Raw genomic sequence first — 15,981 nt, 5'->3', positions numbered from 1 at the left:
ACCTGAGATTTAGCATTTCTAACTATCTCCTAGGTGACGCTGATGCTGCTGGTTTACCAGCCACACTTTCAGTAGCAAAGATCTAAAGCACAGGTTTTGGACAAATAGGCCTGTGACCCAGTTATCCTCAGCTTCGACTTTCTCATCTGCTCATTAAGTTGGCATAAGATATATATATAAGACCATCGTTTAATGGACTAGTTACACCTTCTAGCACACAGGACATGAAGAGAATATGGAGCTATTGTATTATGCAGAGATGTACAGTCAGCCAATGTTTCACATGCAGTCTCCACAGAAATGGGGCCTGATTCTGATAAATGTCCATGGTCCCAGTGCCAGGTAGCTTTCAATATTTAAATTTAGAGTACCATGTTTGTGTCTTGGCAGCCTTACATGCAGATCTAAAGCAGAGATAAAATGCAAGTTGCCTTATTTATGATGAAAAAGGTTAAAATTGGGGGAGAACGGCTACGGTGAATCAGGGTTCTCTGATTTAAAACCTGTGCTATTTCCCATCTTTCATGATTTTCATCTACTTCCCAGACTTATAGCCCCTATTCACATACATTTCTCCTTGTATTCAAAGGTCAATTTGAAAATAGAAGGCTTGGCAAGGTGGCTCACAACTGTATTCTTCTTAGCACTTTGGGAGGCTGAAGTGGGAGGATCATTTGAGCCCAGGAGTTTGAGATCATCCTGGACAACACAGTGAGACTCCATCTCTACAAGATAAATAAATAAATAAATAAATAAATAAATAAATAAATAAATAAGCCTGGCGCGGTGGCACATGCCAGTAGTCCCAGCTACTTGGGAAGCTGAGGTGGAAGGATCGCTTGAGCCCAGGAGGTCGAAGCTGTGGTTGTGATCATACCACTGCACTCCAGCGTGAGCAACAAAGACAAGGTAAGATCCCCCCACTTTTTTTTTTGAGGCACTGTCTATAAGTGTCTCAAAAAAAAAGGAGAAAAAAAAGACTCTGCCTCAAGCAAAAATATTCAGCAGGTTTTCCAAATCCACTTTCCCCTGCAAATAAAATCAATAACAAAAAGAGTTAGGGTTTATGACACTTTTCTCATCAGTTCACTAACGGACCCCTATTAGATATGTTCACTAAATCTTTGCTACTCAAAGGGATGAGAAGCATTGGCATCATCTGGGAGCTTATTAGAAACGCAAAATCAGAACTCTGATCTCCCTAGGCCTGAGCCCCTAGCAGGAGAGGTGGTTGCAGTCTCTGTGGACCAGCAGACTTAGCCTTTCCTCCTGGTAGTTCTGAGGAGTCTGGGCAGCCCAGACGAGTGGGTTTCCCCCCAGCAAAGCACACCCCCTTCATCAAGGGACAATCAAAGTGCATCATAAAACAGGTCCTGTTCCCCATGCCACCAACAGAGTGAGACCCTCCAACAGGGGTTATCAGATACGCGATATGTGAGTGATCTTACTGGCATCAGGTTGGTGCCCCTTGAGGTCAGAGGTCCCAGAAGAAGGAGCAGGCACCCATCTTTGCTATTCTCCTTCTCCTTGAGTGACATCTCCAGGCACGGAAGCGAACCAGATGAATAGGGCCTGAAGTGAATGCCCAGCAAACAGCAGCAGCCCTACAGAAGAGGGATCTGACCATTGAAAGAAAAACAAACAGAAAGTAACAACAGCAGCATCATCATCAACAAGAAAAAGCCCTCACAAAAACCCCATCTTAGGGTCAGCAGCCTCCAAGGTTGAAACTAGACAAACTTAACAAAATGAGAAAGAATCAATGAAACAACATTGAAAATCCAAAAGGCCAGAGTGCCTCTTCTCCTCCAAATGATCGCAACATCTCCCCAGCAAGGGTGCAGAACTGGACGGAGGTTGAAATGGATGAATTGACAGAAGTCGGCTTCAGAAGATGGGTAACAAAAAATTCTGCTGGGCTAAAGGAGCATGTTCTAACCCAATGCAAAGAAGACAAGAACCTTGATAAAAAGTTAGAGGAACTGGTAACTGGAATAACCAGTTTAGAGCAAAGCAAACATTACCTGATGGAGCTGAAAAACACAGCACAAGAACTTCATGAAGCATACACAAGCATCCATAGCCAAATTCATGAAGTGGAGCAAAGAATATCAGAGTTTGAAGACCACCTTGCTGAAATAAGGCATGCAGACAAGATTAGAGAGAAAAGAACAAAAAGGAATGAACAAAGCCTCTATGAAATATGGGACTAAGTAAAAAGACTGAACCTACTATTGATTGAGTACCTGAAGGAGAAGGAGAGAATGGAAGGAAGCTGGAAAACATACTTCAAGATATTATCCAGGAGAACTTCCCTAACCTAGCAAGACAGGCCAAGATGCAAATTCAGGAAATAAAGAAAACATCATTAAGATACTCCATGAGAAGATCAACCCCAAAGCACATAATCATCAGATTCTCTAAGGTCGAAATGAAGGAAAAAGGATTAAGAGCAGCCAGAGAGAAAGGCCGGGTCACCTACACAGGGAAGCCCATCAAACTAACAGCAGACCTCTCAGCAGAAACTCTACAAGCCAGGAGAGATTGGGGGCCAGTATTCAACTTTTTGTTTTTTTTTTTTTTTTAGACAGAGTCTCGCTCTGTTGCCCAGGCTGGAGTGCAGTGGTGCAATCTCGGCTCACAGCAAGCTCCATCTCTCGGGTTCACGCCATTCTCCTGTCTCAGCCTCCCGAGTAACTGGAACTACAGGCACCTGCCACCACCCCCAGCTATTTTTTTTTTTTTGTATTTTAGTAGAGATGGGGTTTCACCATGTTAGCCAGGATGGTCTCAATCTCCTGACCTCAACATTCTTAAGGAATTTTCAACCCAGAATTTCATATTTAGCCAAACTAAGCTTCATAAACGAAGGAGAAATTAAATCTTTTCCAAACAAGCAAATGCTGAGGGATTTCATCACCACTAGGCCTGCCTTGCAAGAGGCGCTGAAGGAAGCACTAAATTTGGAAATGAAAAACTAGTACCAGCCACTGCAAAAACAGACCGAAATATAAAGACCAATGACATCATAAAGAAACTGCATCAACTAGTGTGCAAAATGATCAGATAGCATCATGATGACAGGATCAAATTCACACATAACAATACTAACTTTAAATGTAAATGGGGGTAAATCCCCCATGTAAAAGACACAGACTGGCAAATTGGATAAAGAGTCAAGACCCATTGGTGTGATATATTCAGGAGACCCATTTCACATGCAAAGACACACATAGGCTCAAAACAAAGAGATGGAGGAATATTTACCATGGAAGGCAAACAACAACAACAACAACAACAGCAACAACAAAACCCCAGAGATTTCAAACCTAGCCTATGACAAAACAGACTTTAAACCAATAAAGATTAAAAAAGACAAAGAAGGGCATTACATAACGGTAAAGGAATTAATTCAACAAGAAGAGTTACTATCCTAAATATATATGCACCCAATACGGGAGCACCCAGATTCAAAAAACAAGTTCTTAGAGACCGACAAAGAGACTAAGACTCCCACAGAATAGTAGTGGGAGACTTTAACACCCTACTATCAATATTGGACAGACCAAGGAGACAGAAAATTAACAAGGATATTCAGGACTTGAACTCAGCTCTAGATCAAGTGGACCTAATAGACATCTACAGAACTTCCCACCTCAAATCAACAGAATATACATTCTTCTCAGTGCCACATGGCACTTATTCTAAAATCGACCACATAATTGGAAGTAAAACACTCCTCAGCAAATGCTAAAGAACTGTAATTATAAGAAACAGTCTCTCGGACCACAGTGCAATCAAATTAGAACTCAGGATTAAGAGCCTTACTCAAAACCACACAATTACATGGAAATTGAACAATGTGCTCCTGAATGACTCTGGGGTAAATAATGAAATTAAGGCAAAATTCAAGGAGTTCTTAGAAACCAATGAGAACAAAGAGAAAATGTACCAGAAACTCTGGGACACAGCTAAAGCAGTGTTACGAGGGAAGTTTATAGCACTAAATGCCCACATCAGAAAGCTAGATTGATCTCAAATCAACACGCTAACATCACAATTAAAAGGGCTGGAGAAGCAAGTGCTAACTAATACAAAAGCTAGCAGAAGACAAGAAATAACTAAGATCAGAGAAGAACTGAAGGAGATAGAGACATGAAAAACCCACCAAAAAATCAATGAATCCAGGAGCTGTTTTTTTTTTAAATTAACAAAATGGATAAACTACTAGCTAGACTAATAAAGAAGAAAATAGAGAATAATCAAATGGATACAATAAAAAATGATAAAGGGGATATCACCACTAACCCCACAGAGATACAAACTACCATCAGAGAATCCTATAAACACCTCTATGCAAATAAACTAGAAAATCTAGAAGAAATGGATAAATTCCTGGACACCTACACCCTCCCAAGACGAAACCAGGAAGAAGTCAAGTCCCTGAATAGACCAATAACAAGTTCTGAACTTGAGGCATTAATTGATAGCCTACCAACAAAAAAAGCCCAGGACCAGACAGATTCACAGCTGAATTCTACCAGTTACAGTGAGAAGATGGTACCATTCTTTCTGAAACTATTTCAAACAATTGAAAAGGAGGGACTCCTCCCTAACTCATTTTGTGAAGCCACCATCATCCTGATACCAAAACCAGGAAGAGACACAAAAAGGAAAGTTCAGGCCAATATCCCTGATGAACATCGATGCAAAAATCATCAAATACTGGCAAACCAAATCCAGCAGCACATCAAAAAACTTATCTACCACGATCAAGTCAGCTTCATCCCTGGGATGCAAGGCTGGTTCAACATAGGCAAACAAGAAATGTAATCCATAACATAAACAAAACGAAAGACTAAAACCACATGATTACCTCAATAGATGCAGAAAAGGCCTTTGATAAAATTCAACATCCCTTCATGTCAAAAACTCTGAATAAACTAGGTATTGATGGAACATATCTCAAAATAATAAAATCTCTTCATGACAAACACACAGCCAATATCATATTGAATGGGCAAAAGCTGGAAGCATTCCCTTTGAAAACCAGTACAGGCTGGGCGTGGTGGTTCATGCCTGTAATCCCAGCCTTTTGGGAGGCCGAGGTGGGTGGATCACAAGGTCAGGAGTTTAACCTGGCCAACATGGTGAAACCCCATCTCTACTAAAAATACAAAAATTACCCGGGCGCGGTGGCAGGCGCCTGTAATCCCAGCTACTCGGGAGGCTGAGACAGGAGAACTGCTTGAACCCGGTGGGTGGAGGTTGCAGTGAGCTAAGATCAAGCCACTGCACTCCAGCCTGGGTGACAGAGCGAGACTCCATCTCAAAAAAAAAAAAAAAAAAAAAAGAAAAGAAAACCGGTACAAGAGAAGGATGCCCTCTCTCACCACTCCTATTGAACATAGTACTGGAAGTTCTGGCCAGGGCAATCAGGAAAGAGAAAGAAATAAAGGGTGTTCAAATAGGAAGAGAGGAAGTCCAATTGTCTCTGTTTGCAGATGACGTGATTCTATACTTAGAAAACCCATCATCTCAACTCAACAACTCATTAAACTGATCAGCAACTTCAGCATGTCTCAGGATACAATATCAATGTGCAAAAATCACAAGTGTTCCTTTACACCAACAATAGACAAGCAGAGAGTGAAATCATGAATAAACTCCCATTAACAATTGCTACAAAGAGAATAAAATACCTTGGAATACAGCTAACAAGGGATATAAGGACCTCTTCAAGGAGAACTACAAACCACTGCTCAAAGAAATGAGAGGACACAAACAAATAGAAAAACATTTCATCCTCATGGATAGGAAGAATCAACATCATGAAAATGGTCATACTGCCCCAAGTAATTCATAGATTCAATGTTATTCCCATCAAACAACCATTGACATTCTTCACAGAATTAGAAAAAACTATTTTAAATTTTATATAGAGTCAAAGAAGACCCTACATAGCCAAGACAATCCTAAGCAAAAAGAACAAAGCTGGAGACATCATGCTACCTGACTTCAAACTATACTACAGGGTTACAGTAACCAAAACAGCATGGTACTGGTACCAAAACAGACATATAGACCAATGGAGCAGAACAGAGACCTCAGAAATAACACCACACATCTACAACCATCTGATCTTCGACCGACCTGACAAAAACAAGCAATGGGGAAAGAATCTCCTATTCAGTAAATGGTGCTGGGAAAACTGGCTAGCCATATGCAGAAAACTGAAACTGGACCCCTTCCTTATACCTTTTACAAAAATTAACTCAAGATGGATTAAAGACTTAAATATAAAACCCAAAACCATAGAAACCCTAGAAAAAAACCTAGGCAATACCATTCAGGACATAGGCATGGGCAGAGACTTCATGACAAAAACACCAAAAACAATAGCAACAAAGTCAAAATTGGCAAATGAGATTCTATTAAACTAAAGAGCTTCTGTACAGCAAAAGAAACTATCATCAGAGTGAACAGGCAACCTACAGAATGGGAGAAAATTTTTGCAATCTACCCATTTGACAAAGGTCTAACATCCAGAATTTACAAGGGACTTAAACAAATTTACAAGAAAAAAACAAACAACCCCATCAAAAAGTGGGCAAAGGATATAAACAGACACTTCTTAAAATAAGACATTTATGTGGGCAACAAACATATGCAAAAAAGCTCATCATCACTGATCATCAGAGAAATGCAAATCAAAACCACCATGAGATAACATCTCACACCAGTCAGAATGGTGATTATTAAAAAGTCAAGAAACAATAGATCCTGGTGAGGCTGTGGAGAAATAGGAATGCTTTCACACTGTTGGTGGGAATGTAAATTAGTTCAACCATTGTTGAAGACCGTATGGCAATTCCTTAAGAATCTAGAACCAGGAATACCATTTGACCCAGCAATCCCATTACTGTATATATACCCAAAGGAATATAAATAATTCTACTATAAAGACACATGCACAGGTATGTTTATTGCAGCACTATTTACAATAACAAAGACATGGAACCAACCCAAATGTCCATCAATAATAGACTGGATGAAGAAAATGTGGCACATATACACTATGGAATACTATGCAGCCATAGAAAGGAATGAGATCATGTTCTTTGCAGGGACATGGATGAAGCTGGAAGCCATCATCCTCAGCAAACTAACAGAGGAACAGAAAACCAAATACCGCATGCTCTCACTCATAAGTGGGAGTTGAACAATAAGAAAACATGGACACAGAGAGGGAATATCACACATTAGGGGCTGTTGGGGGTTGGGGGGTGATGGGAGGAAACTTAGAGGACAGGTCATTAGGTGTAGCACACCACCATGGCACACATATACCTATGTAACAAACCTGCACATTCTGCACATGTATACCAGAACCTAAAGTAAAATAACAGAAATTTTATAAACCTCCAAGTTATTAAATTAAACTCATCAATTACCAAAAAAAATGCAAAATCTTGAGTTTCACCCCAGTACTCCTGAATCAATATCTCTGGTGTGAGGTCCAGGAATCTATTTTTAATAACCTCTTCAGGTGATTCTGAGGCATGCTAAAGTTTGAGAAGCATGGCTTTAGGGCCTCAGCTTCACACCATCAATTTGGTCCCCTCTCAACTTGTTAGGAAAGCAAGAACTTAGTCCCTAACCAATGACCTATGGAACTAGAATCTGTATTTTAACAAGATCCTCAGTAGTTCAGTATGCTTATTAAAATTTGGGAAATGATGCTTAAGTCTACAGCATAGCTTCAATCCAATCTACTCTAACAGGAACTGATTAGATAGAATATAGAATTAGGCAAAATATAAATAAATTATTGGAAAAAAGGGAAAGCCAAGTAGTGCTGCTTTTACATTGGATTGAAGCAAATAAAGAAGGAAAGCTTCAGGATTTAATACTCTGCCATTTATAGGGCTGCTTAATAAAGGTTTGGGAATGCATCAGGCTGAAGTGAACTGAGTTATAGACAGTGTTCTTTCTGGAACACAATTGGAATCAATTCCCATCTTGGCAAGAGCTGTGAGAAAAAAGAAGAGTAATGGTTTCCCTGCTCCCTCTCTGTTCAGTTTGGATCAGCAGCTGAGACCAGCAGGAAGGGGGAGGAAGTTTTGTCCTTTGGGTGTGGGTGAGGTATTCCTGCCCAAATTTCTACTCAGGGCGTTGGATTTAAAACAATCTGCCTCTGTCACTTCTGCTTTCCTTGAGGCCGTAGGTATAGAAAGAGACTTCTATGATACAAAAGCATTTTGGACAAGATGCTTCAGTGGACCACATCTTCCATTGTCTTATCTTGCTCACTACTTGCATGGTACAGATTTGGTGTATCAGCCTCTGTCAGCAGCTGTGCCTAGGCTCTTGGATTCTTTGTAATCTGAGGATAAATATGGGAAGAGCAGGCACTTATTGGTATCTGACCAAGACTAGAACCATCTTCAGAGTCTATAATAATTTTTAAAATTGATTTTTAGTATCAAAGTTGCTATATCAAAGTATATATACATATAGTGGCTGCTGACTTAAACATATAACACTCATCTGCTTCCTGCCAGTTCCTCCAAGAAGACCAAGGTGCAATTAGCTAGGCAAAGATTTTATTAGAAAAAATGTCTTGAGAAAAATCAGGGTGAGTCAGGGAAGGCTGGGAGAACTGTTAGATTGAGATGCAGGTTGGAATCCCATGAGGGAGAGAAAGAGAGAAGGAAGATTGTATGGAAGTACCCAAGACAACTGTGTAATCTAAGGAAAGTTTGGCAAGCTTGGCAAAGAGGTCCTGAGCCAAAGTTGGCTGTCAGAGGAACCCCATGTCTTCCAGAAACTGGCCTCCCTTAGTATTCCTACCATGCTCAGTTATTCGTGGAGAGTAGCTTCAATGCAAAGAAGGTGATGGATGTCAGTCTACAGCAATTGAGATCCTTGGTCAATGACTCTCCCTATAGTCAAAGGTGTGCAAGGCACAATCTCAAGGCCATAACTTTCCTCCTTATCAAAAATATACAGTGGATGTTTAGTGTTCAAAGAACCATATACCAGTTTATTTGACATCTCATGGAGCATTTCATAAATATGACATACAGCATATAAATAAACATCCACTGAATATATATATATATATTCACCTTAGGAATTCTGCACTATCAGAGCAATTGTCAACTGTGTGTTTACAAGAAAGCTCTATGGCTCTATGTTTCCTTTGGAGAAATATAGGGGCAATGGGGCCTTTGACATTGTTAGGTGAAACTTGGAAGATGGTTTTGTGATTTGCAACTAAAGTGTTGAGTGTTGTTGAATAGCCTTCAAGAAGGCAAAAGCTCAGTGTGGTATAGAGAGTGGGACGTGATATGTACCCTGCCTTGAAATATCAACAAACTGCTGGCAGCAGGATTTTTTGAGCAGTTCTGTGAGGCTCCAAATTCTCCTCTGACGTAATCCCCGAGGTGATTGTTGCAGATTTTTCAGTAAAGAAAATTGAGAGACATACTATATGTAGCCTACTAAAAATGTTCCATATCATGTTTTTTAATCCCAAAGTTCTTAGGACTTAGTAGTGAGAGAACTAAGCTTAAATTTTATTATATTGTTGTGTGACCTTAAGCAAGTCACTTAATCTCCTTTCAAAGCTATATTTATTCCTCATGAAATGATAATAATAATAATTGATTGCAAGTCCCTTAACAGATTGATTTTGTTTATGAAATGGCACTACTATTTTTTAAAAAAATAAAATGCCATACAAAGGAAAGGTGACTGTGTGAATTGAATTCAAGTCCTCATAAGGAAAACAGAGTTTAAGGACATGAATGGATTGGAACTGGAAACAGAAAGCGCCAAAGAACAGAGTAGAACAACGGGTTGCCTATAATCTCTCTCTAGGTTTTCCTTTCATATTCTTCAGACTCACAGATTCCTCTCTCCCTCATATTTTCAGTTTAAATCCTGGCCCAGCAAAGAGAAGGGCTCTGGACCTGAGATCATCCATCATGGACAACCTCTCTGCCAAGAAAAGCCCAGGGCTACTTCCTTAGGAAGGGTCTTTGGACCAGGGCATTTCAGCAAGAAGGGGAAAATTGGACATGACTGGCACTTAAACAAACCCAACAGGTGCAGACTGTAAATTGGCAAAGTGACATCATCAGTAGAAAATCAGACTACAGAAATCGAGAAGCTTGGCATAGCCCTTCTCTTTCCAGTCCACTTGACCTGGTGCTAACCACACAACTGCCTTAAGCCTTAATTTTCTCATGGAGATGGAAATGGGTTATTGGGAAATTCAAATCAGATAATTTACGTGAAAATATGTTATAATCTCTGAGATGTAAAGCGTGACCACCAGAGTTTAAAAAGAATAGAAGCAAGAAGACAAGCTGAGTCACTAACTTGCCAGGGAAGTGAACACACTCCAGGGAAGAAATTCACTCAATGGTGAGTAGAAAATGCACCACGTTCAAGACTTTTTTTTTATTATAACATCCAACATCTTTGACAAATTACAAATAGAACATAGTGGTTGATTAAGTAAGCGGTGCTATGGTGATGGTAAAAGCTATCCACTAATCTTTTCATAAAAGACAAATGGCAAAGTGGGGATTTCTTTTAACAAAGAATCAAGAGGGCCTTTAGAAACTGAAGAATCAGATTGTAAAGTCGGAAGCATTGGTCTCTGTAACTGTAATCTCCTTTCTTAAAGCTATGTTTTCAAAGACTTGCTGGTTGGCAGACAAGCAAAACTCAGAGCATATTCATGAAAGAACGGACTGAGGACTTGCAAAGACTTTGGAGACAGGAGACCTGTGTCCTGTTCTGCTCCTGACTGGCAGGGTGATACAATGGTACTTGTTTCCCCTCTCTAGGCCTCCATTTTCTCAGCCATAAAACTCTGTCTATAGTTGAGGACTAATTCTAATGTCCTTCCCTCTTTAAAAGACTCTAATCCTAAGGAACTTAATCTCATCATGGCCTCAAAGTCCACTTTTCTCTTTAGAAAGGTGAAATAACATTGAAAATGTTAAAATATGACAACATTGGCATAGCAGTCCTCTATAGTCATAATAATCTTGTAACAAATCACTCCCAAACTTGGTTGCTTAAAATCAGCACTACTTACTATTTTCACAAATCTGGAAGTAGACTAGACAATTTGGCTGATTTTGGCTGGGTGTTGTTGAACTTCACTGGATTTACTCGCATGCTTGCAGTAAACCTGTGTGTAGCTGGGGGATGGCTGGTCTGTGTGGGACTCAGCTGGGACAGGTAGAATGGCTTGGGGTCTTTTCTAATGCCTGGACCTTTTCGTCTTCCAGAGGCTAGTGCAGACTTGTCCACATCAATGGCAGGTTCTCTAAAAGAATGGAAGTACACAAAGCCATTTGGGCCTCGGTTCAGAACTGGCACTTCATTGCTTCCAATGTATTATACTGCATGTTTACATTTACAAAGTACATCATAAAGTAAATTTATAGGTGTGGACATAGACATCAATTTTTGCTACAAAATCACATTGCAGAGGTGTATGGAAACTGGCAGCAATGAAAAAATGGAAAATTTGGCCATTAGTCAACACAACCAGATGATGACTAGATGAGTCTGCATGATTCTCTCTGAAACGTTTTGAAATGTGTTTTTTAAGTTAGACAATTTAAAGCTTCACTCATTAAGTTAGACAATTTAAAACTTCACAGCCAGGTAAATCATAAGCAGTACACAAACATTCATTTTTTTTTAAATGGAAAATCCTCAGAACAAACACAAGAACAGGGACATTACATTTGCCTAAGAAGCCGCAAGTTACTAGATTGTTTACATTTTATCCAACAAACTGTGAGTTTCAAAGATGACCCTAAAGATTCTTTGCTCTTTTTCCCAGTTCAAAAATGATAATAAAACAAGAGAGTTCCCTGATTCTCCTCGCAGGACCTGCGACAGGGGTGTGGCTCAAAACCCCTTGAGGGACAGGGGAGCATGCAGACAGGCAGGTGCAGAGGCTCAGGCGAGCTCTCCGGGCTCCAGCTCCAGCTCCCAGGTAGTGTCTAGGAGTGGGTACCTGCAACTCCAGTGTTACAAAGCTCTTTCAGCTTTGTTGGCCACAGATGGCTTGGGTGTTAATCACCTCAATAGGCCCTCTGTCTTTTCACAAAAGCAGAGGGCCAGTGTAACAGCTTTCTGTATCCTGAGTTCTTGTCCAGAGTCCCGGAAAAATTGGGTCACACACAGACCCGAAGGATGAATGTGAGGTGTTATTAAGTGGTAGAGGAGGCTTTCAGTGTGATGGATGGAGATCTGGAAGTGGGGGATGGAGTGGGTAGGTGATCCTCCCCCGGAGCTGGGCCGCCCAGCAGTTGGACTCCTCTCTGACCAACCCTCTTCTCCCTTTCTCTGCCGCATCATTCTGCCATCTCTCTGGTGGTCTGCTGGCTTGCTGCTTGCTGGTCTGCTCTGGAGTTTGGGGTTCAGGGTTTATATGGGTGCAGGATAGGGGGCATGGCTGGCCAAAGGGCCACTTTTTGGCAATGAAAACAGAAATGCCTATCCTCATTTAGGGCCATGGGTTTTCAGGCTTGAGGATGGGGTGTTTGCTGGGGTACTGCCCTCTTCTACCCAATATTTCCCTGTCTCCTGTCTGTATCAATAACCTAGAGTTTTTTTCTAGTGAAGTCTTCCTGAAAGCTATTACCACCATGCAGAATTATCCAAACAGAAGCCCTGAAACTCCTCTTTTCACGTTAGAGTTGAGTGATGAACATGCACTAGAGATGGAGCTCTCATTCCTCCTCCAGCTTTCCAGACCCACCAGCCTCATTTCAGGTACTCAACAGGCACAAGTGGTCAGTGCACACATAGCACGTCTCTGCCAACACAGAAAGTCCTGATGGAGGAGGTGACTTCGAGAATGTCTACAGATATCTGGAGATAGATGGTCCTGGGTTACATAGGCCAACTCCAGGACATATAGGTGAAGAACTAGATGCCTGGAAAAAGGAGATTGTTATCCAGAATGGACAGCTTGACTAATGTAATGCTTTCTTAGTTATCCTAGCTACTAATTTACTTAGTGACCTTGGGAAATTTATTTCATTTTTATTATTTGGGGAAAAAAGAGATTAGAGTAGATCAGGGTGTCTCAAATTCTCATGTGCACATGAATTACTTGGAGATCGTGTTACAATGCAAATTTTGATGTAGCAGGTGGAAGTGAGGCCTAAGATGTTGCATTTCTAACCTATTCTCATGTGGTGCCTGTGATGCTGATGTTCCTGGTGTATGGACTACTATACTCTTTGAGTAGCAAAGGGTTAGGTCAGAGAGTCATGGAATATTGGCTTAAAAAAAGCCCTTAGGAATTCCCTATCCAGTCCTGTCTCTAAAGTCCTATTCAGCTCCTAGAATCCTTGAGGTTTGGGGAAAAAAAGGTCCATTCACATTCCTCAGGGGGCCTTGGTGCTCATAGCTCTGAAAGAATTTAATGGTCATTTGAATTGTTCTATAAAACAACAAATATGACTTCAGAATAACTCCAGTTTCCTTATAAGGAAAGCCTTAATTCTTGCCTAATGGCCTGCAGTTAAGTGAAGAGCTCTTTTAGCTCCTATTTTCAACTCAATAGAGGCAGGATAATCTTTACATCTGCTTTAATTGACCTCCTCAAGGCCACTCTCATCAAGTGTTTATTCTATGCAGGAAAACATGGCTGGTCCTAATAACTGCTGTTACTTAAAACCAGCAAAAAGAATATCAGAGGAGCAGCAGAGAATCATACACTCAGTCGACAAACTTTCCAGCTTTTTTCATGTGGGTGCATATGGTGGCCGGTGGAAAAATACTACATATTACCACAAATATGCTATACTGTATATATAGTTTATATATAGATATACTACAATATATTAATTTATTGCACACCTCCATGAAGCTCCACAGTGTGCTCTGAAGTTCACAGATTCTTAGTCTTGAATACAAGACCTGCTACTTTCTTATGAACCAGGCAATGAGTGCTTTTAGTGAGCTGTACCACCAGACGCAGTGCTACCCTCTACAATTGGAGTCATTCAGTTTGTCCTAAATGGGTGGGCATATTTTCTGCATTTGCAATTTGGATTTCAAGGCTGGGAATACTAGAGCTGAGGAAGCCAGAGTACAAAAGGAAAGAATAAAAGGGCAAAGGACTAAAACCAACAGAGAAAGGCAATTACAAGGTGTATAAATGTACACTGTGCAGAGGTAAGGATTTATTACACTGTGTGTGTGTGTGTGTGTGTGTGTGTGTGTGTGTGTGTTTTGCATGAAAGGTAAGGGGAAAAAAGCTGACATTTGTTAGGCGGAATTCGATAAGTGCAGTTGCAAAGAATAAAGGGAGCTTTCAGAAAGCAGGCAGCTGCAGCGGAGCCTGAAGCCATGGTACTTGATACCGCAATATACTCTCTCAATGATTCTAGGCAGCTTTTGAGAACAGCAGGGAGGCATTCAGGGTGGAGGACAATGGCAAATGTCAAGAATGAAAGAAAGAATCTAGAGTTTAAAAGACTGTTGAGTGACAAGTAGGCCAGATCAAAGAAAGAAATTTATCAAGTATTTATAATTATCATGCTAATAGAGATCAATAATCATGAAGAGAAACCATAGCAAAAAAAAAATAAATAAATAAGCCAATGGCTTTCAATCTTAAAAACAAATCCCCTCAACAAAAAGACAGTAGATGAAGCAATCGATGGAAGATACAAACATTCACCTTTTCATCCATTCTGATTTTTCATTTTATATTTTGTTACTCAAGTCATCAATGAAAAGCAAGTGTCTTAAGCTAGTCTGAATTTCTTTGTTTTGAAAATTATACAGTGGAAAGATTTTTAGAGAAGCACAAGATGGGGCTGGTGTATCATCCACTGCAAATGGAGCCACAGATACCATGTCTAAGCAAGACATTTTGATCCACAGGAAATATTTTGGGAGAGGCAACATTCTGAAAACATATCACCTAGGTCCTCCGGGCTTGTTTTCAACTTCCTTCTCACTTCCGTGCTGTGCCCCACACAGGTGTGCATGTGCAAAGCTCTCTCATGGCAGATTGGGAGGTCGGGCTTGAAGGAAAAACCCTGTGTTTGGAAACTTGCTTGGGCTTGCTAAGGACCAGGGTGGTTTGGAAGCCCAGGGAGAAATGTTGAAATCAGTCATTGCGAAATCCCTTTTGCAATAAGTAATGAATAAAGACTGAGGAAAAATCTCTTTCCTCCCCAAAGTAAAAACCTACCACTTAACTTGTCTAAACAGCTTGTCATAATAGAAGCTTAAAGGCAACATGAAGTGCTTCCCACAGCCAAGGCCAGAACCTCCAGCCATCACTGATTGATTGGTTCATTCAGTAAATATCTGTCAAGAAACAGTATATGACAAGCACAGTCCTGGACACTGCACCGAAGAACAGAAACATGACAACTCCCTTTATAGCTGTCAGACATCAAACCGAGACATCACCTCCTCAGAGAGTTCACTGACACTTTATCTCACCTGGCCCCACCTCAATTACTCTCTATGTTGTGGCTCTGATTATTTATATCATAGCCCTTGATACATCTGAATTCTGTTATTTTAAAAAATCAGGGCCTGTCTCCACCCACTACAATATCACTGCAAAGACCTATTCTGAATTGCTCAGTGCTGTATCCCTAGCATTTAGAACAATGCCCTAGATATAGTAGTAGCTCAAAAAAAAATGTTTCTTAAGGGAACAAATGAAGATGATGTAAACCATCTGACAACCCCACTAAACAGAGACAATGTCCTACACAAAGAGAAAACTTCAAAGCAGTAAGTGAAAGATCTATAAGATAAATCAACACATTTCTATTGAAGTTAAATTTTAAAAGATCACTTCGAAAAAAGTCCACTGGAGGAAACTCCTAAAATTTTCCATTTGGCTTTGGATCCAAATCAGCATTAAAAAAATATCCCCTAGTAACTCATTCATTTTTTTTAAAA

General features: G+C 40.4%; 1 long non-coding RNA gene across 1 annotated transcript in view; it reads left to right on the top strand.

Moving 5' to 3' along the window:
* LOC105372529 (uncharacterized) overlaps positions 1–15,981 on the top strand; it is a 117,487-nt gene that overhangs the window by 61,607 nt on the left and 39,899 nt on the right. The window contains exon 2 of the long non-coding RNA XR_937261.2: positions 9,941–10,434. This is a non-coding gene — a long non-coding RNA (uncharacterized LOC105372529). The remainder of the gene's footprint in view (positions 1–9,940; positions 10,435–15,981) is intronic.

This window comes from Homo sapiens, chromosome 20 (genome assembly GCF_000001405.40).
Source record: "Homo sapiens chromosome 20, GRCh38.p14 Primary Assembly".
NCBI lineage: Eukaryota > Metazoa > Chordata > Mammalia > Primates > Hominidae > Homo > Homo sapiens.
This window is presented reverse-complemented; position numbering and strand designations above follow the sequence as displayed.